Here is a 26,410-nt window from a genome sequence, read left to right as displayed (position 1 = left end):
GGAGGATTGCTTGAACCCGGAGGTGGAGGTTGCAGTGAGCTGAGATCATGCCACTGCACTCCAGTCTGGGTGACAGAGTGAGACTCCATCTTAAAAAAAAAGAAAAAAAAAAAAAGAAAGAAAGAAAATCATAAGAGAAAATACATTTATCATTAAGTGGAACTGGATCACCATAAAGGCCTTCATCCTTCTTGTTGTCTTCACATTGAGTAGGCCGAGAAGGAAGAGAAAGAAAAGGAGTCAGTCTTACTGTCTCAGGGTTATCACAGGTGGGAGGAAATCCACATATAAGTATCACAGGTGGGAGGAAATCCACATATAAGTAGACCTTAACAATTCATACCCATGTTGCTCAAGGGTCAACTATAATGTCCTTGGCTTGCTACAGATAAACATCCTCAGGACAGGATTCTACACCTGGGCAGTGCTAGGGCATAAACTGCCCTGGCTTCCAGGAGCTGACTGCCAGTAGTCTGCCGTGTTTGCCCAGATGCACTTATTGTTTCTCCAGCACCACAGCCCCATAGCAGGACCACATGGAGGAATAGGCAAAGCCACCCTTTTCCCAATGCCAGGGAAGCTGGGATCAGAGAGACTAAGAGAACTCTCACACCAGGAATATCAGCAGTAACCAGGGCAGAAGCAGGAAACAGAGAACACAATTCTATTGTCAAACTCATCCCATAAGCACTAGAGGGCATAGGTGATGGTGGTTTTAAATTGCACAAAGGAACACATTCCTATACTTGATAGAGTTAAAAGCAGAGCTTATTAACATAATTCTCCTACATTTTAATTTTGAAAATCCCATTTAAAGCTACATCTGATTTATCAGTTATTTTAATTAATTTTGTCTATATGCCACAGCATTCTCAGGTTCCCACTCAAATATACAATAGATTCTTCCTGGTCTGTTTAAAAATTTGGGGTAGTCATGTCTCCCTTAGAGAGACAAAATGTACTACAAATTGTCTTTTACAAAGAGGGAAGGGGAAAAAGAGGTGAAAGTCATAGCTACTGCAAAAACATTTCTCCTTAGCATGAATTTGACCTTTATCCTCAATACTTGTTTTGGGAATACTCTTAAAGGACACATCTTAAACCTCCCCTTCTACTATCTGAAGAGGACAGTAAAGAGCAAGAAATCTCCAAAGTCAAGTACAATCAAGCATCCTATCCTGCGAAGCCTACAAATGAAAATACTACCCTCTATATATGGAGGCTGAAGAGCAAAGGCTTGCCCAATGCCTCCAAGTCAGGAACTCCCAATAGAAATCCAGCATGAAGAAGCATCTGCTAACAGCAACCCTGATGGGCAGAGGCCAATGGTTCATGCCTCACTTAGGAAACAGATATGAAAACTGCAGCCCTAGAGACAATTGCCAAAGCCTTTTTATAGCTTTCATCAAGATTTTACCAAAAACCACACAGAAGAGGTGTAAAAACATCATAAACATTAAGTTTACTGAATATCTATTGACAATTGTGTTTAGAGCATAAGACTTCCATCTTTAGGCCCTAGTATTTGTACCAAAATAAATAAATAAATAAATAAATAAATAAATAAATAAATAAATAAATAAATAAATGAGTTACAACAGAATCTACAGGTTGCTTTTCCTGGAAAATCATTGTACCAAAACTCTACAGCCATTTTTAATTAATTAATTATTTCCAGACCGGGTTATGAGACTGGCTAATTTTTGCATTTTTGGTAGAGACAGAGTTTCACCATGTGTTGCCCAGGTTGGTCTTGAATTCCTGGGCTCAAGTGATCCACTCGCCTCAGCCCACAAAGAGTTGGGATTACAGGCGTTCGCCACCACACCCAGCCTCTGCAGCCATTTATAATTAGCCTACCAATTTCATCATCGTGAGGGCCAAAAAATTTCCTCTTGTGATGAACAAAAACATTTCCCATTGCCTCGCTGTCAAATACATGGAGGGCAACTGCTCAGTACCCAAAACCTCTAAAAACAATGTTATTTATCATTTACACATAACCTACTTCTATACAGTCAAGGAAACTTAGAATAAAACTATGTACAGAATAGTGAAATAAAGATATAAAAAGATCAAAAGCAGGACTCTTAACCCCAAGGGTCCAGAATACGTTTCAGGATGCAAGAACGTCTTAAAATTATAATACAATATTGTATGTGAGTCCACATATTTTACCAGATCTAATGGGTTTTGATAAATTACAAAAAGGGGTTAGAAAGGCCTAGTACAGCAATGAAATCATTATTTCTAGTATACACTATACACCAATTTGGCCCTGATCTTCCTGGTGGCCAAAACAAAGAATAAAACCAACAGCTTTCATCGGATAAAGCAGCACATTGGTTTCGCTGGAAAAAGAGACACTTAAGTGAAAAAACCTGTGAATTATTTATAAAATGGAGCCAGCTGTAGGAACAACGTTGGACTGTCCCTCTAAGGAGGTTCTAGAGAACAGGCAGAGTTGTTCTTCATCAGGACCCTTGATAAAGGCTAAGGGTAAGGAGCCTACACAAGCATGCTGCGCACTCTGTGATGACCTAAACTTTGCCGTGACCCAAGGGTGGGTGGAGCCTAGAAGTTCTGCAAGAATGAACCAAGCACTTTCAGCAGCTGGTGTTTCCTCTTTATCACATCCCTGGGACCAGACAACAGGGCTCCAACACACAAGGGACACCCAGTAAACACCTACTACATTATATTACACATCTTCTACACGAGGAGTACAATTTAAAATTAAAAACATCTTCCGGCCGGGAGCGGTGGCTCACGCCTGTAATCCCAGCACTTTGGGAGGCAGAGGCGGGTGGATCACGAGGTCAGGAGTTCAAGACCAGCCTGGCCAAGATGGTGAAACCCCGTCTCTACTAAAAATACAAAAATTAGCCGGGTGTGGTGGCGAGCACCTGTAATCCCAGCTTCTCGGGAGGCTGAGGCAGAGAACTGCTTGAACCTGGAAGGCGGAGGTTGTAGTGAGCCGAGATCGCGCCACTGCACTCCAGCCTGGGCAACAGAGCAAGACTCCCTCTCCAAAAACAAAAACAAAAACAAAAACAAAAACAAAAAACACATCTTCCACTACATCAGGAATGAACAGAAGCATATTTCATACAACATCTCTGGTTGTGCATGAAACCACCTTTGCAAAATTATACAAGTGAGAGCAATCGAACATAACTGATTCCATCTTGTTTCTAACCTCACAAGTTGTCTTTGTTCATTCCTGTGCATAGGCTAAGCTAACTATGGGAGGATTTAGTTTATAATTTAGCTGAGGAATTTAGTTTACAGCTTAACTTTAAAGCAAGGATGATCATAGTCCCCTCCCAAAAACTACCCTTCTTCTCGTTGGTGGTCTGAAACTGCCTTTCTAAAATTAATGAAAGGTGGTAAGGTTAAAATTATTCTGATAAGATCTAAGCATAGTTAAAACAGTAGGCTATTACTGTTTCCTAGCTTGCTTTTTATAATTGTTTACTGCTCAGGAGTCACTTAGCCAATGGTCATAATAAGATTTGTAACTTTCCCAATTGCTTCTATAAGCAACATCACTACTGTGAAACTTAAGACTGGTGGGCAACACAGTGAGACTCTGTCTAAAAAAAAGAAAAGGCCAGGTGCAGTGGCTCATGCCTGTAATCCCAGCACTCTGGAAGGCAGGAGGACCACTTGAGGTCAAGACTTTGAGACCAGCCTGGCCAATATGGCAAAACCCTGTCTCTACTAAAAATACAAAAAGTAGCTGGGTGTGGTGCACCTGTAGTCCCAGCTACTCTGGAGGCTGAGGTGGGAGGATCACTTGAGTCTCAGAAGTGGAGGCTGCAGCAAGCCAAGATCGTGCCACTGCACTCCAGCCTAGATAACAGAGCAAGATCCCATCTAATTAAAAAAAAAGACTGGTGTTTGAGATATTTTTCAGACTGCATTCTAGTGGACCAACTGACGCCACCTATACTGGTGATCCATACCAAGAAACAGTTTCGACACTCCTATGATTTCATGCCCAGCCCAATCAATCAGCAGTACCCATTCCCTAGCCCCTGCTTACCAAACCATCTTTAAAAACCTAGTCTCCAAATTCTTTGGGAGGTGGATTTGAAAGGTATCTTGTCCACCTCAATCAGCCTTGCGATTATTAAACTCTTTCTCTGCTGCAAATTCTGCTGTCTCAGGGTACTGGCTTTTTCTGTGCAGCAGGCAAGAAGAACCCAACTGGGCTGTAAAATGCTGATGATAATCATACGTGTTCTCCTTAGGTAAGAATCTATAACACAATAACTAATTTCCTAAGAAACAACACATTTAAAAAGATAAAGCAGCTAGGTGCAGTGGCTCACACCTGGAATCCCAGCACTTTGGGGGCCTGGGGCAGGAGGACTGCTTGAGCCCAGGAGTTCAAGACCAGCAGGGGCAACATGGCAAAACTCTGTCTCTACAAAAAATACATGTATACACAAAAATTAGCCAGGTGTAGTGACACTTGCCTGTAGTCCCAACTACCCGGGAGGCTGAAGTAGGAAGATCACCTGAGCCCAGGAAATCAAGGCTGCAGTGAGCCGTGATCACACCACTACCCTCCAGCCTGGGCAACAGAGCAAGACACTGTTTCAAAAAAAATAAATTATATATATATATAAAAAAAGATGAAGCAATCATTAGCCTGAACAAGTCAGAAATTTAACTGTCTCTTTCTAGAAGCCATTAAAAAAAAACCACCTAGATTTTCAACAGGGGCAAGTTAAGTTGCACAGCAGTTAGGAGCCCTGATCCACACTTGAGCCTCTGACCCTGGACAAGTCCTTCAACCTTTATGTACCTTGGGCCTTTGACCTGTAAAACAGAATTAATAGCAGTAACAACCACAGGGGGATTTATTCACATAAAGTCCTGAGGCTAGCACAGAATAAATGCTCAAAACTGTTTTATTATTTTTAATAGCAACGTGTAGAGAGTGAAATGCTACAGATCCATCAAATAGAGAATGTAATCACATTAAAGACATGTTAGACCCATGTGCTGCTTCCTAAAACCCTACTTTCTAGTCTTTCTTCTCTAAGTTAATGTGCAGTATTCAAAATGAGAACTGATAATTAGCTAGAACTTTCAGTAAGCCTCAACAGCCTTGTTACACTTTTTACATCTAATATTGATATAAAACTTACCACATTATCTCACCGTCAAGTAACCTGCTTTGCAAAATGTACTATAATATTAGATATGATATTACTCTCGTTTGGCTTTATGAATCAAGGCTAAATTTCTAAAGGTTTAAAATCCCTAACTCAAAAATTCCTTCTGAATAAGGTAGTCACTTAAAATCAAGTGATGTCTTTTCCTTGTTCAGTAAAATTATATAGGACAACAAGTACTATCCATTATCATAAAAGGATACTATTTTTTCAAAAGAAATAAGAATCTCATTGATGTCTCAGCTTTGGACAATTATATTTTAGGACAAAATACATGGCTGAGAATTAAGGATCACTATTACGTTCCTTTTTGTTTAGAAAAAAATGTACTTTAAGTCTATCACATCTAATTTAGGAAGCAGCCCTTCCAATTGTGGCAGGTTTGGTTCCAAGGCAGATTTGCCAGAATTATTGAGGGGTGTGGGCAGGAGAGGTATGAGAATTTAAAAACACAAACATAATCCATTAGTTCAATGCACGCAGGAGGGTATGTTTCGTGATAGCTGGAGAGTAATCCTCCATATTACTGAAATCTCTATTCCATATAAAGCTTGCTCAGAATTAACCTATCTCAATGAAAGACATACAATCTTATCAGAACTTATCAGATCTTATGACCCAGATTCTTCAAGTCAAGAAAACAACTTTCTTGGCATTGTCTTTCCAAGATAATAATCTAGTTTATCCAACAAGGAAAATCCTTTTATCTCCTCCTTCATCCACAACTTTTCTCTACTTTCCCACATCTCTTGACCGTGGGCTTACTACCTGCTTCTCCCAAATCCACAAAACTAAGTGCCTATCAGCTACAAAATAATCTACACGATTTGGAAATTACAATAAAAAATATAGTCACTCATCTGAGCTATCTTTTCAGTCCACGCTTCTCTTTGCTCTTTGTACAGATTCAAGTATAAAATAGCATTTATTCATTTTGCTTTCACTTTTAAAAGACCAAGAATACCTGCCATTTAAGACGTACCCTTTTTACTTTTAATAATTAGCACTCACTCCAGTTCTATGACCAAATAAAGTCCCCAACACCCTTCATACCTGTAATAAAAGTTGCTCTCTTGCTGTTTTTAATTGGGAGTGGGGAATGTGAATTGGGGCGTAGAAGATATGGCAAACATTTCAGAAATGTAGAATTCTTTAAGAATAGGCAGTAATCTTTCATTCCAGTTTTCTTGGGATTCCATAGAATTGGCCACAAGAAAGCTGGGACCTTTCATTTGAAAGTATGTTCTGCCAGTTTTTGATCCAAATAGAAAAAAAAGACACGAACATTAGGCACTAGTAACTATTTCATGTAAGGATCGCCCATGTGGCCCACACATTAAGAAGTGCGTTCAGAGCCAGGCGTGTTGGTGGACGTCTGTAATCCCAGCACTTCGGGAGGCTGAAGTGGGCAAATCACCTGAGGTCAGGAGTTCGAGACCAGCCTGGCCCACATGGTGAAACCCCGTCTCTACTAAAAGTACAAAAATTAGCCAGGCATGGTGGTGCGTGCCTGTAATCCCAGCCACTCAGGAGGCTGAGGCAGAAGAATCTCCTGAACCTGACAGCTGAAAGGTTACAGTGACCTGAGATCATGCCACTGCACTTCAGCCTGGGCGACACAGTGAGACTCCGTCTCCAAAAAAAAAGATTGTGTTCAGGAGTGCCTTGACAGCGCTACCTCTCTATTTTCCCTTGTAATTTACCAGGAGGAAAAAAATGGCAGTGGGAAAGAGAAGAAGAATATACCATCCTCGGCACACTCCTGCAGGCAAATGGGACAATACCACATCACCACATCTCCATCTTCTCTCCTGATAGACCCTGCAAGCCAGTGTGTGCAAAACTGTTCTCTGACACTTGCTGTCAACTTCCAAAAACTAGAGCCCATTTTATTACCGTATTAAAACTGCCAAGTCTTTGGGAGGCCTAGGAGGGTGGATCACCTGAGGTCAGGTGCCCAGACCAGCCGGGGCAACACGGTGAAACCCCGTCTCTACTAAAAATATAAAAACTAGCTGGGCATGGTGGCACGTGCCTGTAATCCCAGCTACTCAGGAGGTTGAGGCAGGAGAATCGCCTGAGCCCGGGCGGCAGAGGATGCAGCGAGCTGAGACTGCGTCATTGCACTCCAGAGATAGAGCAAGACTCCGTATCAAAACAAAACAAAACAAAACAAACAAAAAAAACCAAACCCTGCCAGTCTAAGATTTGTCTATTATTCCACATGAAAATCTAACAGCAGGTGGTCAGGAATTTTCTTAGTTTTGATGCAGCATTCCTAAAGTGTCAAAAAAAATTACAGTGCATAAGTGGTACCATTTAGACACTCAATTTGTGCTTGCTTTGAATTAGATGTGTGTTGAATCAGATAGATTATGAAGAACAGGACAAACTATAAACGGTTTATCTGAAGTTCAGCTGACACTCCCACCAAATCCATTACCCTAATTTATAACTAGAATTATTAAACAAATATATTTCCAGTAAAAACATAAATCACTGGCTTTCCAAAAACAATAATCAGTATTTTGATTTATTCATCAATTATTTCAGTATCAGAGGTACCACATTGGAAAATAATATTTTTAAGATCTCACCTTTCAAATATTTTATATCAATCTTTAAACACACACACACAATCTTTAAACACACACACACACGCATGCACACGCACACCACACCCCGCCCTCAGTTTAAATTGAGAAGGGAGTCTGGGGATTAGATATACTTATGAAAGGTTAGACTTCTGTTTTTTGTTTAGTTGTTGAGACTGGGTCTTGCTCTGTTGCCCAGACTGGAATGCAGAGTTGCAGTTTTGGCTTTCTGCAACCTCTGCCTCCTGGGCTCAAGCGATTCTCCCACCTCAGCCTCCCAAGTAGCTGCGACTACAGGTGCATGGCACCACACCTGCCTAATTTTTGTATTTATTGTAGAGATGGGGTTTTGCCATGTTGCCCAGGCTGGTCTCAAACTCCTGGGCTCAAGCGACCCTAAAGTGCTGGGATTACAGGCGTGAGCCACTGCTCTGAGCCCTGTTATTTGTAACTAGCATTTTAACTAACTGAATACCAAGAAAAGATTAAGAAGACTATTAAGTGGAACACATTAGGAAAGTGGGGGATGCAGAACAATTAAGATTCAATATATGACATGTTAAAGTTAGAATGTTTATTAGTCGTCCAAGTAGAGATGACAAGTCCAGGGGAATGGTCCAGGCTGGAAACATAAATTTAGAAGTCATCATCCGTGAATACAGGTATTTAAAGTCACTAGCCTAGATGAGATCACCAAGGGAATGGGTGTAGATGGGAGATGAGACTCACAGAACCATCCTTTCCTCCTAAACCAGTCTGAGAAATCTTTAAACAATACCTGTAAAATGGCAGTCACGGAAAAAAAAGGATAGGTTTCAAGGGAAGCATTCCCTCAACATCAAAGCCACTTGAACAAGTCATGTGCTATTGGAAAACAAATAGGAATATGGTCAGCTTAATTCATGAAAATGACTGGAAACGACATATCAAAGGAATTTTTAATCAATGAAGAATACACATGTATACCATTTAGGAATTCAGAATGATGACTACAATAACAAGCCCATCAATCATACTATGCTCCATGCCAAGTAAGCTGGCAAATAAGCTGGAGATGGCCCTGTTCTCAAGTCAATGTAATAAACTGAAGAACCAATGAAAGTTCACGAACAATCAGAAAAGCAGGGGTTAATTCTGAGGGGCATGTAGAACTCATGTACTTGAACTACAAGAGAGCCAAAGGCTGGGCCCAGTGGCTCACGCCTGTAATCCCAGCACCCTGGGAGGCCGAGGCAGGCGGATCACTTGAGGTCAGGAGTTCAGACCAACAATGGCCAAAGTGGTGAAACCCTGTCTCTACTAAAAATACAAACAAAATTAGCTGGGCGTGGTGGCAGGTGCCTGTAATCCCAGCTACTTGGGAGGCTGAGACAGGAGAATTGCTTGAATGCGGGAGGCGGAGGTTGCAGTGAGCCAAGATCATGCCACTGCACTCCAGCCTGGGTGACAGAATAAGACTCTGTCTCAAAAAAAAAAAAAAAAAAAGAAAAAGAAAAAGAAAAAAAAGCCAAATATTCAACTAAAAGGGTATTACATAATTTTATCTTGATAGAGGCTTGGGTTACAAGGTATGTGCCTTTATCGAAATTCACCAATAGCACACTTAAGATTTGTACATTTCAGTATGTATAAAACTTACCTTTAAAAATACTGGGACAGGCGCAGGAGCTCATACCTATAATCCTAGCACTTTGGGAAGCCAAGGTGGGAGGATCACTCGAGCCCAGGAGTTCAAGATCAGCCTGGGCAACATGGCAAGACCCTGTCTCTATAAAAAATAAAAAAATTAACCAGGTATGGTGGTGCATACCCGTGCTGCTAGCTACTCAGGAGGCTGAGGTGGGAGGACTGCTGGAGCCCACGAGTTCAAGGCTATAGTGAGCAGTGTTAACATCACTGCATTTCAGCCTGGGCAACAGAGCAAGAACCTGTCTCAAAAAAAAAAAAAAAATTTTTTTTAACTCTAATTAATGACACATATGGGACAGTGTTTAGAGGTGAATGTACAAGTGTCTGCAACTGAATTTGAAATGCATCAAAACAGTAAGATGGATACAGGGATGGCTAAATATGTCTCAAAGGAAATATTTAAACATTTAATAGAATCTAAGAAGTGGATTCATATGTGGGTGGTTCACTGTATAATTCTTTCAGCTTCCCTACATGCGTAATTTTCAAAATAAAATGTCTGAAAGGGAATTACAATTGTAAGTTATGGTACTGTCAATCTAATATACTATTAATTTCAACTAGTCCTTACAGTGTTGCACAGTGGTTAAGGGCTCAAATTCTGGAGCCAGGCTGGGTTCAAAGTATAGCACCTCTACTTACTAGCTATGGGACCTTGTATAAATCATTTAACCTTTATGCATTAACAGTACCATGCTTCATGCTTTGATGGTTAAATACAAATGGACAGTGCCACTAATATTACTGATATTTAGAAAATAGGAAGGCACTTAAGAATGCAGTGGTAGGCTCACATCTGTAATGCCAGTACTTTGGGAGGCCGAGGTGGGAGGACTGCTTGAGGCCAGGAGTTGGAGACCACCCTGGGCAGCATAGCAAGACCCCATCTCTATTTAAAAAAATTTTTTTTTTTAACGAATGCAGTGGATAAATGAGCTTTGAGCTTGGTACAAAAGGAACAGCAGGATTTCAATATGGCTGGGTACAGAGAAGGCCAGAGCCAGTAATCTGAGACATGATGCCCATTAATAGTGAAGTTACTCTGGGCTTGGCCAAAGTAGGACCAAATAACAAGAAGCCTCTGGGGCTAGGAAGGGAGCTTAGATTTAACATGGTTGACAAGAGCAGTCACTCCAGATTTCTGAAGACGGCTAGGATATGATGACCAAAGCAGTGACTTAGAGAGATGTATTCTGGCAATTTTTCTTGTTTTGCAGAGAAAAATCTGTAACTTCCACTATTAGAAAAAGGCTGTTAAGGGAGATAAAGAAAAAAGGAAAGAAATTTATTTAAAGGGCAGGCAAAGGGTAAGAACCAATGGTCAGGTGAAAAAGAACATGACTCCCTCCAAGAGAAATGGGCAGCAGACTGGGGCATGAGGGAAAAACATGAGAGAAATCATTCATTCACCAGAATGTACTAAAGACAGCCTTGGAGTTCCCATGACAACTTTCAAGTGTTCATTATTAATCTCTAGTCTAAAACTATTTTCTGAAAAGATACACAATTTCTCTCTAAAATACTTCCATATTTACAACTTTCTTTTCAAATCTCAATAAGGATTTCATCTCATGAATTAGGCACAGAAAGGTCCAGTTTCTACCTTGTAGTAGAGGGAAACACTCTTGCTTGAGTCCAATTTACCCTAGTAAAATCCACCCTTCTGCCAATCTTAGTCATGTACTCTTAAAAGCTTTAAACAATAATTTCTAGCTCCCTAACATGGTGCAAATATTAAACAGAAATGCAGGCCAGGCACAGTGGCTCCTGTCTGTAATACCAGCCCTTTGGGAGTCCAACACAGGAGGATCATTTGAGGCCAGGAGTTTGAGACCAGCCTGGGCAACACGACGAGACCCCATTATTACAAAGAATTTAAAAATTAGCCGAGTGTGGTAACACACACCTGTAGTCCCAGCTACTTGGGTGGTGAGGTGGGAGATCACTTGAGCCTGGGAGTTTAAAACTTTGGTAAGCTATGATCACGGCCACTACACTCCAGCCTAGGTAACAGAGTGAGACCCTGTCTGTTTTATTCTTTAAAAAAAAGGAAAAGAAAGAAATGCACCATCACAGTGTAGTGACAATGTTAATTTTACTCCCTCACACACTACAAAAGAGTATCTTATTATAAGGTTTAATTTGTTACGTTCATATACAAGAGGTTCATTAATGGCTTCACTGTTGGAAATCTCAGCAGAACTGCTGGTTTTGTTAAGAAGTATGTGGCATGGCTATCAATATAATTTTAATAAAAGCCCCAAGCCATTATCTACTTCCCATCTTAACAGAAATTAAAGCTAAGAAATGACATCTTGAGGGTTATACTTCAAAAAATATGTATCAACAAGTTTCAGGATTTTGGAATCCCTTCATTCTCTACCCAAAATTAACTCTATAATGTCCCTAGTTTCCTCTCCAGGGTCACATACTTTCTCCTTCTTTAGAAAGATTCTTTCAAAAATTGTAATAATAAGAGCTCTTCAAAGTCTCAAGTAATAACATACATTTCTTTTCACATTTTCATTACAATCAAGACTAGCTAACAACTCAAATTTCTCTACCTAGGCAAACTACAAAAACTGTCAAATCCCAGACAGTAAAATTCTACTGCCATTTTTACTTAGCCAACCCAAATGGAAAGTACCTACCAAAAATCAACTCTTACTGCTTTTCCAGCTCTTTTTATAAGAAGGAAAGACACACGCTTACAGTGACAAAGTAAAGACCTTGTCTCACCCACCAAACACCGTACAAAATTGTAGACTCCCCAAACACCTCCTGGCAAGTGCCAGCAACTAAAAACCACTGGTAAAACAGCATTCTAAGCTTTTTAAAAGGAAGATGAAAACTCACCTAGATGCAAATTTTTAGGAAACAGGAAAAAACAAAAACCAGTTTAACCCAGTATGAACTGAATTTTCTCTCACTGAAAGTAAAGGGCATCTGCTGGTAACTTTGCAGTTTCCTGCATCCACAATTATATTAATATCTATACATAGAAAAAACAAGTGCTGGCTGGTTAGCTTGTTTGGTTTAAAACATGACAGTTGAGGCTGGGCGCGGTGGCTCACGCCTATAATCACAGCACTTTGGGAGGCTGAGGTGGGCAGATCACAAGATCAGGAGTTCGAGACCAGCCTGGCCAATATGGTGAATCCCTGTCTCTACTAAAAATACAAAAATTAGCTGGGCGTGCTGGCAGGCACCTGCAGTCCCAGCTACTCGGGAGGCTGAGGCAGAAGAATAGCTTGAACCCGGGAGGCGGAGGTTGCAGTGAGCCGAGATCGCGCTACTGCACGCCAGCCTGGGTGACAGAGTGAGACTCCGTCTCAAAACAAAAACAAACAAACAAAATGACAGTTAAAAAGCCAATCATGGGTTTGGTGTTTGAGTGGACCAATTTTGCTCTTCACACTCTAAATCCCAATATTTTTTTCTCTCTGAAATGGAAAGTATCTGTCAATGGTTATAATGGGTACTCAAAAGATGTGAGTTCAGTGAAAATACATTACCAATGCTGGGAGGAGAATCACTCAAAGTGTATGTCCCGTGGAGTATGAAGTACACTGGATGTGCATCCACAGGATGACATTATTACATAAGCCATCATTACCCTTTTTAATGAACAGTGTCTACAGAGAATAAGGGGAAACAATGTAACATGAGAAAAAATTATCCAAAGAAGGAACTGAAAAATGTCTACAGAGAGGCTTACTGGGAAATGTTTTTCTAATAGAGAGGCTTAGTGGGTCAAATCAATTCTGCATTTTAAATCCTTTATTCTATTTTCACTGTACCACATAATTTCTATATTTTACGCTATTGCAGTCTGAGGAGTCTGTTGAACTGTTCTGTCCTCCTTTCCTTCTCCCACTTAAGTTCCTCTAGCATTTACACTTTTCACTTAAGCCTATGTAAGAGAGTGTGTGTACAGACACAAGTACATGTGTTCAGTTGGGGGGAAATGGAGGCAAATGGCCCCAGATCAAGACAAAATAGCCCCTATTTATTTCAAAGAGAAAGCCATTATTTAGCTCATTTCTTGTCAAAGATTTTTTTTAAGTTTGGCTCCCCCTGTGATTTTGAGTCTTGTACTGACTGCTCTTACTTGATTAGAAAAAGAACCACTCAGTTGAATGTGTGTAGAGTCACATTCAGTGCTTGCATTCAGAAACTTGTATATCCATAAATAATTCGCAGATATCCACACACATTTTTGCAGATGTGGGTAAAAAAATAAAAACAAATATTCTTAAAACTACTTACAAGTACGAAAGTCTTGCAGATGTAATATCAATGATAATTGTGAAAGGAAGGTTTATCATAGAATGCTATAGCAGGAAAGGCTCCAAAAACCTTCACTAACCCAGCTCTATGATTGGGCTTCTTCTTCCATTCACCCAGGTCAAATGAATTTTGATCTTAAACAATTAAAATGGTCTATGTGAAAAGAATTTTCTTTAAACCCAAAAGCTCAAAGTCAGGCAATTTATTATCACCCATGACATTTTTGCAAAGGAATCTGTATTTGAAATATGTCAATTTATTTCAAACCCTCATTTGAAATGTGAAGGTTCTTCCCTAGAAACACCAAATTGAAAAGTCCTCTCCCTTTTTAGAAAAGAAATATAAAAGCAACAGCCTCACATAAACTCTTTAATCTGTGCCCATGATTGTAAAATGTCAAATCCCTATAATAAATTCCTTACACATCTTTCCTAGTTCTTCTGCTTCTGTGATTTAACCCTGATAGTCCCAAACTTATGTGCATGTAAGTAATCTAAGTGAGAAAGACATTTTTACCCAAAACAGGAAATCCTCTAGCCATAAAACAAAAGATAAACACATCTACCTGAGAACAAAAACAAAACTTCAATACTTTTTTTTTTTTTAAGTATATACTTCCGCTGGCTAGGAAGGATTAAAAAAGGCGGGGGAAAACACACGCAATGTCAAAAGACAAATAGCTATAATATACCAAGAGCTCCGGCAAAGAAAAACATACAAATGACAGTAGAAAATGGGCAAAGAATACAAACAGACACTTCATAAAAAAGCAAATCCAATGACTTACAAGTACATTAAAAAGATTATTTGAATTCAACAGTGGTCAAGGGAAATGCAACTTTAATAATGAGCAGGCCGGGTGCAGTGGCTCACGCCTATAATCCCAAGCACTTTGGGAGGCCGAGGCGGGAGGATAACTTCAGGTCAGGAGTTCGAGACAAAAAAAAAAAAGTAATAATGAACAACTGCTTCACACTCATCAGATCAGCAAAATTAAAACAAATAATGCCTACTGTTAGCACACTGAAATAAAAACACACAACACATGGGAGGGGAGTGGTCAAATACATAGTGTAGTCAGCAATAAAATGAACAAATTAGAGGTAAACCAGAAGGCTTGCAAGGATTTCCATGAGTTACTGATGAATAAGATGATGCAGGTTTGTGAACATTTGTGAACAATGATCCCACTTTGATCAGGCAAACACCTATGCAAAAATGTGTGTGTGCGCGCGCGCGCGAAAAGAGGGAAGGGAAGCAGGAATCTATAGGCAAAGGAAAGTATACAGTTATTGATTCCAGATTGGTAACACTGGTTCTTAGGAGGAGAGGATGTGGAATGTGGAGAGAGGCGGGTAGAAGGAGGGAGGAGAAGGGAAGGAGGGAAATCAGGGGAATCAGCATGTATATAAATTTCATTTATGGAAAAGGCATGTGTGTATGTAAATTTTAAAAGATTACCTTTGCCTTTACACATTTTTGTATAATTGTACATGTTAAAGTTAAGTCTAATTTCTTACAAGTATATTGAACACGAAATATGACCTATATAGGAAGAAACTGTAACTGAACTATAGTAGTCATGAGATTCCCTGGGTCTTGGAAAGGAAAGCAAGTGACAAATGTGTACCCCCCCCACCCCCCAAAGAAGCAGAAATGTAAAGTATGAAGGCAGTGGAGAAAATAATGTATAACAGAGAAAAAGCTGGAATCACTATCCTAGAACACTGCCCGAGAAAGAGGTGAAAGGAAGTACCTCGAGGTGAGCCTGGAAGCAAAAAAAATGTCAATATGGAAGGAAGGTATTTGGCTATTAGCCCACAGCCTCACAGGCAAGGCTCATCTTCATGGGTTACACTGAGGCAATGTTAAAAGTATTGAAATATTCCATACCCCTATTACTCAAGTACTTAAAGGGTTAACGCCAGGCCCATTAGAGACCTCCAAAATCCTGCTCCAGAACTATAGCACTACTAATTGGGTAGCACCCATGTTATATATTTATTTATTTATTTATTTTTTATTTTTTTGAGATGGAGCTTCGCTCTTGTTGCCCAGGCTGGAGTGTAATGTTGCGATCTCGGCTCACTGCAACCTCCACCTCCCAGGTTCAAGCAATTCTCCTGCCTCAGCCTTCCGAGTAGCTGGGATTACAGGCACGCGCCATCATGCCTGGCTAATTTTTTGTTTTGTTTTGTTTGTATTTTTGTAGAGATGGGGTTTCACCATGTTGGCCAGATTGGTCTTGAACTCCTGACCACAGGTGATCCGCCTGCCTCGGCCTCCCATAGTACTGGGATTACAGGCATGAGCCACCATGCCTGGCCTTTATTTATTTATTTTGAGACGAAGTCATACTCTGTGCCCAGGCTGGAGTGCAGTGGCGCAATCTCGGCTCACTGCAACTTCCGCCTCCCAGGTTCAAGCGATTCTCCAGCCTTAGCCTCCCAAGTAGCTGGGACTACAGGTGTATGCCACCGCGCCCAGCTAATTTTTGCATTTTTTTTAAGAGACAGGGTTTCACCATGTTGGCCAGGCTGGTCTCAAACTCCTGGCCTCAAGTGATCTGCCCCCCTCGGCCTCCCAAAGTGCTGGGATTACAAGTGTGAGCCACCGCGCCCAGCCAGGTAGCACCCATGTTAACCACGTGTACACCTCTCCTGCTTAGAGACTAAAATCACCTATTCTTCAAAGATGCTGTCAGAGTCCACCTTCACCCACAGGCAAAGTAGCATCACCTTCTATGATGACTAGCTGCCATGATCAACTGAACAACCTCTGGAGGATGTGAAGTCAAGGGCCCCAGAAGCCCTGCAGACAGAGATCAGGCACAAGAATGCCCATCAGGATAGGAAATGAGGCTCAGTTGAGATAAGAGCCCAACAATGAAAACGACAAAGGCAGTGTGCATTCTCTGCCCCCTGTCATCCATGATATGTTCTACACAGAAACCATTTTGTGGAATTATCCTGAACCTCAACTTCCCAGGAATATATCATGGGTGACATTACACTGCATGTTTTCTATACTGATGCCAGCTGGCACAAGGCAATAAATGCCTTTTGTTTGTTTACTGAATCATCTTCTTTCTTCACATAACACAGCATGCCAGTTTTTACCACTGCTTAAGGTAATGCTCAATATTCCCCTAACAGAACGTTTGTGCATGGCTAAAGTTAAAGATCTAATATTAGAAAGCAGAAACTAATATCAATCACCAAAAGACTTATTAGACAGGGTTTCTGTTTGTTTTGTAGTGATAATAGGTAAAACTTAAATCTGTAGAAGCATCCATCTTTGGGCTCTAAAACCAGAGAGCCTCAGTAAAAATTAAGAAAGAACAAAATGAAGATTTTCTGGATAAGACCCTGGATCCAGAGCTAAAGACCACAGGAGTCGTTGGATACACAAACTGAAAGAGACTACAGTGAAATAGTAAAACCTTCAAAGTTGTTATAGTAAATGAAGACTTTAAACCATCTGTGATGTGAAAAATAAATTAATGAAGTATAAAGAGATCTAACACCGTAAGATAAACATTTGAAAGAAGATGGTAAATGCCTAATGGCTACATAGATAATACAGTAAGATGTACTATTATTAGTATTAATTATTTGTTAAATAGAAGTATCCTCAACATTATACAGAACAGTCAATAACAGAGCACCTAGACTAAGGCCACTCGATCTGACTTGGTTGAAAAACAATTCAAACATGAAAGAAGCCAAAGTGATTATATTCTAGACATGTGAGCTTCATAGAGTTCATTGCAATTAAGGGACTATAAGCTGATGCCATAGTACAGTGAATAGAAATAGAGGCATCCAGGATTAAATATCTAAGAAAGAAGAAGGAAGGCAAAGATAGAAGACAGGGAGAGCACAAATTGCGGATGGTTTGGCCAAAAGAGGGCATGTGGAATCAGACTGGGTAGCCATAAGAGCAAAGTAAATAAACATTAGGAAAACATTGTTTTAGAGGAAAAAAACAAAATAAGTGTAGGTCAGCAAATTATCATAGTAAAACCTATTTCACAATCAAGTATAATAACTTTCCATATAAGTCAAAAGACACAAAAATCTTAAGAGAGAGAGTGTGTGTGTGTGTGTGTTTTATTGTATCTACAAAAAATATTTCTGGAAGATACACAAGAAACTGTAAGAAGAGAAACTGAATGGCTAGGTAACAGGGATGAGAGGCAATGCTCATTAGATACTCTTTTAGACCCCTTTAAGCCATGTAAATGCACTGCCTATTTTAAGAATTAAAAAAAAAAACTTTTTATCAGGTATAAGGAAATGCAACTGTAAGGATCTCAGTTCAACAACAGACCTTTTTCAAAACAAGAACCCTATGAAAGCCAGCAAATGAATTGCTCTCCTATTACTCTTTAGTTTTCTGAAGCAAATAACCATTAATCCAATGAGTAAGTTCATAGATAACATCTGATGGCAACTGTTCACATCTCCTGAAGTGGAGTGATGATACCAGCCAGCGCACGTGCCTCACTTCAAAGTCAGCCCTGCTTAACTATAAAGATTTTCCTAATAAGATTTTTCTCTTCAGAGGTTTAAGAGCTCTAAAGACAGAGAATGTTATAACATGAAAGGGAAAGAGAACTTCTAGACCTCACACTGCCTGTCCTACCGTCTTTGTTTTTGTTTTTGTTTTTTAAATACATAGGCTATGCCTAGGTTTACTGTTTTTGGTTAATTATTCAACCAGTTCTAGGGTGTGTAAATTCTCTTAAACAATGAGATAGTGGGTTTGTTAAAACAAAAACAACAAAACCCTATTCATAATAGCTTTTTCCTCTAGTGCTAATTTTAAAAAAAAATAGAGAGGAAATACAACTTATAAAAAATGAACATGAAACTACATGAATAGTTACAGTATTCAAATAAACAGTCTACTTCAAATGCAATCACCAAATAAAGCCAAAACCAGTAGGAAAGAATAATCAAGAAATTTTATACAGAGATGCCTATACAAAACTCAATTCAGAGAATGAACACTGACGATCAGAGCCATGCTTCCCCATGCCAGATAACTCAGAATTAACAATAAAGAAGTATGCCAGGCAGGGCAAGGTGGCTCACGCCTGTAATCCCAGCAATTTGGGAGGCCGAGGCAGGCATATCATGAGGTCAGGAGTTCGAGACCAGTCTGACCAACATGGTGAAACCTTGTCTCTACTAAAAATACAAAAATTAGCTGGGTATGATGGTGCATACCTGTAATCCCAGCTACTCAGGAGGCTGAGGCAGGAAATCACTTGAACCCAGGAAGTGGAGGTTGCAGTGAACCAAGCTCACGCCACTGCACTCCAGCCTGGGCGACAGAGAGAGACTCTATCTCAAAAAAAAGTATGCCAGGCCCAATCAAAATGCACATTTTAATAGTAAAGAGAGCATATTATGAATCTAGGAATAAAGCTACCAACTTCAGGCAAGACAGTTAAGACAAATGGAGAGCAATAAAATAAGCTATGCAGCACAGTCAACAGGGACACAGTCTTTAGACATTATTATCAGAATACACATGTAAAAGGGAAAATTCTCCAAATGTATTTGACCATGACTGTAAAAGAAGAGAGAAGAAAAGGGGGAGCAGAGAGAGAACTAAGCTCTTGGAGGAGAATGATAAATGCAATGGCTCTATGAAACTACTGGAAATCAGAAGAGCTAAAAAAACAAACAAACAAAAAAAAGAGGACTTAAAGTGTGAACAATTCAAATATAAATTATTAGTTATAGCAATGTTAATAGTAACACTAGTATTAACAGCAGTGGTTGTGCCTTACATGACTCTTTTCTATACACTTGCAACCATGATGGGTGCATAGGCACCATTATCATCCCCAGTTCCCAGTTGAGGAAACATAGACTTGGGAAAGCTTAGGTAACTTTTCATGCTCAGTGCAGCTGTCAAGACTAGAACAGTCTCTCCATAGAAAATCCCTTCAATAACAAATTTATCTTTATGCCAACAGCATATATGCATTAGTAAATGTAGTTCAAACATCTCTGGAAGGAAAGCAAAGCTTCAAATTAGGTAGAATTTATTACCCAAGAAGCAAGACCCCTGAATCTCAGCTAGGTAAAGAAGAACTTAAAGAAACAGAGGTGCCACTTGATTTATCTCTAGAAACACAGGTAATTATAAGTGCTCCCAACAAGTTCAAAACTAACAAAAGATATACTGGCCTATACAATCTCTGCTACTTTCAGCTTTTACTCAGTACCACATAAAGAAACACAAACTTAATGACTATTAAGCTCCAAAGCAACAGAAATGGGAGTTGCCCAAATGTTTCCTTTTTGTAATGCATCAAAAGTTTACTTGGGGCAGCAAAAATATGCTCTATCTCCTAGTACATCAATTTAGAGAGAAATGCCCCTCCCCCAAAATATGCCCCACAAGCAACTGCCCACACTGATCTAAGGGTGACCACCTCTACCGTAACACATCTTTCTTACTTCCTGCCACAGTGCCTGAAATCCCACCATCAGGTTTCTCTTCAAGAATTTTCTTTTCAAAAGGAAAGTAAATATCCCCCGAATAAAGCAACAATAAAAAGTGGACAGGGGACATTATATTTGAATTCTTCAACTAATACTTTGACTAAGAAATTATGACATCGGCCTGCCACTCATGCCTCTAATCTCAGCACTCTGGGAGGCTGAGGCAGGAGGATCACTTGAGCCCAGTAGTTCGAGACCAGCTTGGACAATGTAACCAGACCCCTATCTCTAAAAAAACAGAGGGAGGGAGACAGGGAAGGAGACAGGGAGGGAGGGACTACGCCGGCTTTAAAAAGGAATGTTGTCAGTCTCCTCTTCCCTCCAAAAGGTGAAAATCCATGCTGTTGAACTACAAGTACTACCCAATAGAAGCAAAAAAGTAAAAACCTATTTTTAAGTAAATAAGTTAATGTTGCTAAAACAAACCACTTCACTTAAAACTTCTGCTACATCTTTTTTTGCAATTCCTTCAAGTGGGCCTAGAACAAAGCTTTCAGATACTACCATGTATTTAAGAGTGCCAATATTTCAACCAAAATACCCAACCCCAAAGCTCTGACTGCAAATAATAATCCAAACATGTAATTAATAGAAAAATTAGTTCCTTTTCATAGTTCTCAGAGCTGTATAATCAAATTCTAGGTGATTATATGCAGAATCTTCTAATAATCCAAACCATTCAAAAATCTTTAAGGGCTAACAATGTACATAATGTAGAGATCTAACACTTTTTCAGAGAGAAGACACCCTGCCCCCAAATGAAAAACACTCAGCTTGAAATGACACCTGTTCAGTATAATTTGAGGGGTTTTTTTTTAACTATTTTTAATTCAGCAATCCTTCATTCAACATTTGTATAATTTAAATGAAATAGTCACAGAAAATTGTAGGCCATTAGTTTGTCCCATACAAAGTCAGAAGATTAAAGAGGTCAACAGTGTACACAATATAGGATTTAATGTAGACCATGTAATTCTGGTGGCAATAACAGACACAGGCCGTGTTTCAAAATGGGAAAAATACTCTTTACTTCATGTAAGATGAACAAATTGCCTGAACTCCTACAGGAAATATAATTTAAAATACATATCACATCATTAGCAAACTGACATGTGAAACGCATGTAAATATCTTTAAATAATTTTACAAATATATAAGATAATTATCTACTGATACAGATTATATACTGATATAGGTCACCTAAAATTCACCCATTGATAGTGTACAATTTAATGTTTTTTTGGTTTATTCACAGATATGTACAACCATTACTACAGTCAATTTTAGAGCATTTTATCATCTCCTAAAGAAACCCAGTACCCTTGGGCCAGGCGCAGTGGCTCGCGCCTGTAATCCCAGCACTTTGAGAGGCCGAGGAGGGTGGATCACCTGAGGCCAGGAGTTCAAGACCAGCCTGGCCAAGATGGTGAAACCCTGTCTCTAAAAGTATGAAAATTAGACCCTGTCTCTAAAAGTATGAAAATTAGCCGGGCGTGGTGGTGGGCGCTTGTAATCCCAGCTACTTGGGAGGCTGAGGCAGGAGAATCGCTTGAACCTAGGGGGCGGAGGTTGCAGTGAGCCGTGATCGCGCCACTTCACTCCAGCCTGGGCCAGACAGCGAGAATCTGTCTCAAAAAAACAAAAAACAAAAAAACAAAAAAAACCTGTACCCTTTAGCTATCATTCCCTGACCCTATATCTATATGTGAATATTTAAGTGCTAAACTGTTAAGTACCCAGGACATGGCAATCAAGTACCCAGGACATGGCAATCATACTCGGTTATAAGCTTAAAAGCTCTAAATTTGTTGTCCTTTTCTTAACAGTAATTTAGTAGAAATTCAGTCTAAATTTGCTCCTTATGCCTCAAGGATCACAGTTTTATCCATTCTCTTCCACAAGACTCTTCAGATAATTCCTGTTTATGAAAAGGGGGACCAAGGCAATCAAAACTCTGAAGTATGTCCCTCTCACACACAAATGCATGCTGCTTCGCACCTACCAACAATTAAATGAAAATAAAGACAAAGCCTGTAAACACATTTTAAAATGTCTTAGTCGATACTATCTACGTGACAAACAGTAACCACCCTCATTCTATAGCATGTGACTTTCTTGTGTTTAGAAAGGTAGAATCAGGCTCCAATTCCAACTTTGCTGAACAGGGCCTTAAAGAATGTTAGACACTTTCTTCCTCCACCCACATTAAATATACACCCCCTAAAACTGTTGATTCACCGGATTCTCAGCTGCCAAAGAAAGTAGACTAGCTTAGTGTTTGACATTTCCTTTTGGCAGTCATTAGTCCTTAATGTGTCACTGTCTAGAGGCTAAACCGAATAGTTTTATTCATTTCTACTTTAGCAGCTCATTTTCGTGGGCCTAAGAAAATGTATCAAAGGCTAAATCCACCCTAGAAGAAAGTTGCCAATCTAAGATTTTATGACACAAAAATAACAATATGATCAAAACATCTCTTTCCACAAGCCCCGTATTGCTCAAGTCTGATTCAGTCCTGGCTCCTTCGGCAGTAACTTTATACACAGGAGCAAATTAAAGGGAGAAAAACAAACATTTCAAACACCTAGGACAATGTCAGTGAGCCACCTACTAATGGGGAAAGAAGACTGCTTCTAGCCAGTTATGCTTATTAAATAGTTTTTCATTCCCACCAAGCCAAGAGGTTTGCTGTCTCCTGCACACTAATTAATTTTTGACTCTAAATCTTTGTTTTAACCTTAGCCCACTCCCCAGAGCCAATGAATGCCAATCTTTTCTTTCTTTGTATATCCTACTTACTATACATAATTCTATACTTGCTCTAGTGCTTTATAATAATAAAATAATAGGTAATTTTTTAAAATCTCCATTACTAGCATTATCTAAGCCAGATCTTCTCAATTCTTACTTTCGTCCCCTAAAAAAGAACACCAAAGAAAAGGAAAGAGACAGACAATGGTAGATTTAGAGTCAAACAAAGCTCCCTATGTCTTTTAACAACCAACAACCAAAGTGAGGAATCTAAAATTATACTGGCCAACAAAATAGTGTTACAGCCACCTAAAATTGTGTTGAGGCAAATTCTCAAGCATAGGAAACCTGAAGACAGCAAGCTAACCCCTCCACCAAAAAACACCTGATTACTGCCATTTATTAAATTCAATTCAATCAAAGTCTAGTGAACAATGTAAACATCACTACTAAATTATATAAAAGTCAAGCAGCTAAGAGACAAAAGGTTTCGTACTATACAAGACAGAACTTTAAAAATATGACTCTGGGGCCAGGTGCGGTGGCTTGTGTCTATAATCCCAGCACTTGGGCATGCCGAGGCAGGTGGATCGCTTGAGTCCAGGAATGTGAGACCAGCCTGAGCAACACAGCAAAACCCCATCTCTACTTTTATTTTTAAAATTTTAAAAATTTTTAAATTTTTAAAATGCTCTGCCTATGGAGTGGCCATTCTTTATTCCTTTGCTTTCCACAAACTTGCTTCCACTTTGGTTTAAAAAGAAAAATTAAATTACTTGGGGAAGGGCCAAGTCTCCAAAAAAAGCCTTAAGAATTGCACAATGGAATGCCTAGATGAATAGGCAATGATCACTTTTGACCTTCTAAAAAAAGTGCTTACTTTTAATTTAGCCAAGAAAATTCTGCACTGTTCAGTAACTACAGTAGACTCCTTTTGGGGGAATCCAGAAACCCAAATTGAATACAGTGACAAAGGGTTTTACTTCAAGGACACATATACAGAAGAACCCAAGTACAGCTGGGCCACTGCCCCTAGAAGCGGCCATACAGGAAGCCCAGGACACTCCTCTTAGCTGGCTATCCCATTCTCCAATCTCAAATGCCTGACCCATTCTCACCCTCTTTGCTGCCTATCTAATTCATAGCTGCTACTCAGCCATAAGTTCACTTTGTCAAGACCCCTATGACCCTGGCTCTACATAATGGCATCATTTCCTTTTTCAGTTTCCATTACTAATTGCATCATTTTCCCATTATTTACCCATACAAATCCCCAAGAGAATCTAATTGGCTTAAGAATCAGCATAGGCACCAGCCAGCCTATAAAATGGAGAGTGAGAAGAGGACTGAGTGGGATAAAACAAGGCCTTCCAGGGGTTGCAAAGCATGCAAATGCCCTCCGAAGGGTGTACATATGGCAAGGACTGTGCTCTCAGACATCTAACATGCTAACACCTACTCAACTAACCATCATGGTGATGACATGTCCTTTAAAAAAAAAAATTATTATGAGTTTTTTCTAACATAACCACCAAAAGGATTGAGAATACTAAATGAACTCCCTCACTTAACCATTACCAAACTTTAAAAATCATCAACTTTCTGCTTTCTTGTTTCATTTATCACCTTTCCATTGGTTTTTCTGCTGGAATGTTTTTAAACAAATCATACATCTCACTCTGTAAGGAATTATCTTGTATGTAACCATTCCTCCTAAACCAACTTTCATATCTGTTCAAATCTTGAGGGTTAAGGATAATTCACACTTGATCAATACCTTAAATCCAAAATATACAATTATTGCTGTTTATTAACATAACCCCCAAATTAGTGTAATTCCAGGTTCAGAGTGGTTTTAAGAAAATGGTTAATGGAGCATTGGATAGAAAAACCTAGTTGAAAAGAGTAGTTTGATTTTTAACCTCTACAGTTGGCCAATATGAAAGCCCTGTAGAAAGCAAGTAAGAGGTGGCCAATGGTGTCAGGTGTTTTTTAACTGCCATGATTAGAAATTTTAATTTTAAAATTGGATTTTTATCTGAACGCTACAACATTTAATATTGCTTTGAAAAAGAAAACTCAAACAAATTTCTTAACCCATTTAGGCCTGGTGTTCCATTACTGCAACGCTAAGCTTCTGGGAGCTATTTATATCCTACTGCTCAAGGTCATCATCAAGGTCTGATTTTCCACAACAAAAAATTTGCAACCTCTGGCATAAATGGGTTAGAGCCTTGAGTCTGTTTCCTTAACTGAAAAACTTTAACGGCATAAGAAAAACCAGTTTTGAAAAGGTGAGGGAGGTGAGAGGATCCTTTATCACAACAGAAATCACTAAATAGTATATATTAATGGCCAATTTTAGAAAACAAACAATTTTCCTATATACAGTGGCTTCGGCTATTTTTCAGCAAAAATACAGAATCTTCAAAGTAACATAAACAATATGCTCTGCTCCTGGCAACAAGTGTGTTTATTAGTATGAGCTTAAAAGATTACAGTTCAGTATTACTGGTCTTTGTGTGAAAAATGAAGTCTCATTCTGTTTCCCAGGCTGGAGTGCAGTGGTGCCATCATGGCTCACTGCAGCCTCAACTTCCCGGGCTCAGGCTCTCCTCTTACCTCAGCCTCCCGAGTAGCTGGAACTACAGGTGTGTGCCACCATGCTCGGCTAATTCTTAATATTTTTATAGAGATAGAGTTTTGCCATGTTGCCCCGGCCGGTATAATTTTTCTAATAAAATATCTCAGGTCATTTTATACCAGGAAATAGTAAGCAATATTCTTACAGACACAAGAGCAAGGGCAAGCCAAAACATTAATCTTTTCACTCCTAGAAGATGACTTTCATGTTTGAATCTATAAAACCAGTAATTCTCTCTCAAAGCAAGGAGAAGTAATTCAGGCTAATATGTTCCAGTGTTAAATTTAAAGGACGGTTAGCCCTTAAGGAAGCCTTGAAATACGATGTCACACTGTATTCAACTTGGTAGATTATTATAAACTGCAAACATTAAAGTGTCTTCAACTGGGGTTAAAACCAGAGCAGGAGGCCAATCATTTCAAAACATCTGAAAGTAATACTTGTAGGATATTTACTGACCAGATGTTATTTCAGCATAAAGTAACTCAAAGGAAATATCTTCCTTATGTTTCCAAATTATGACATTACAAAAAGCCCTAATGGCAGTTTTGAGAGAATGACCAAATGGAATTGGTGCCCAACAGTCTTTGGTTCTATATATCCAATATTCCTCTTCAAAACAGGCCTGGTGCAGTGGCTCATGTCTGTAATACCAGCATTTTGGGAGGCCAAGGCAGGTTGATCACCTGAGGTCAGGAGTTCAAGACCAGCCTGGTCAACATGGTGAAA

The 26,410-nt window shown here is 39.5% G+C and overlaps 1 protein-coding gene across 9 annotated transcripts in view, besides 1 other annotated feature; it reads right to left on the bottom strand.

Moving 5' to 3' along the window:
- CTNNA1 (catenin alpha 1) overlaps positions 1–26,410 on the bottom strand; it is a 181,610-nt gene that overhangs the window by 67,172 nt on the left and 88,028 nt on the right. The window lies entirely within an intron of this gene.
- Positions 14,470–15,002: an enhancer, noted in NCBI's record as "H3K4me1 hESC enhancer chr5:138188550-138189082 (GRCh37/hg19 assembly coordinates)". NCBI's record gives its function as "activates a minimal SCP1, AML or CMV promoter by ChIP-STARR-seq in primed H9 embryonic stem cells {active_cell/tissue: H9 hESC(primed)}" and the evidence as "EXISTENCE:reporter gene assay evidence [ECO:0000049][PMID:30033119]".

Source organism: Homo sapiens, chromosome 5 (genome assembly GCF_000001405.40).
Source record: "Homo sapiens chromosome 5, GRCh38.p14 Primary Assembly".
Classification (NCBI taxonomy): Eukaryota; Metazoa; Chordata; class Mammalia; order Primates; family Hominidae; genus Homo; species Homo sapiens.
The sequence above is the reverse complement of the archived record's forward strand: the minus strand, read 5'-3'. Positions and strand labels throughout refer to the sequence as shown.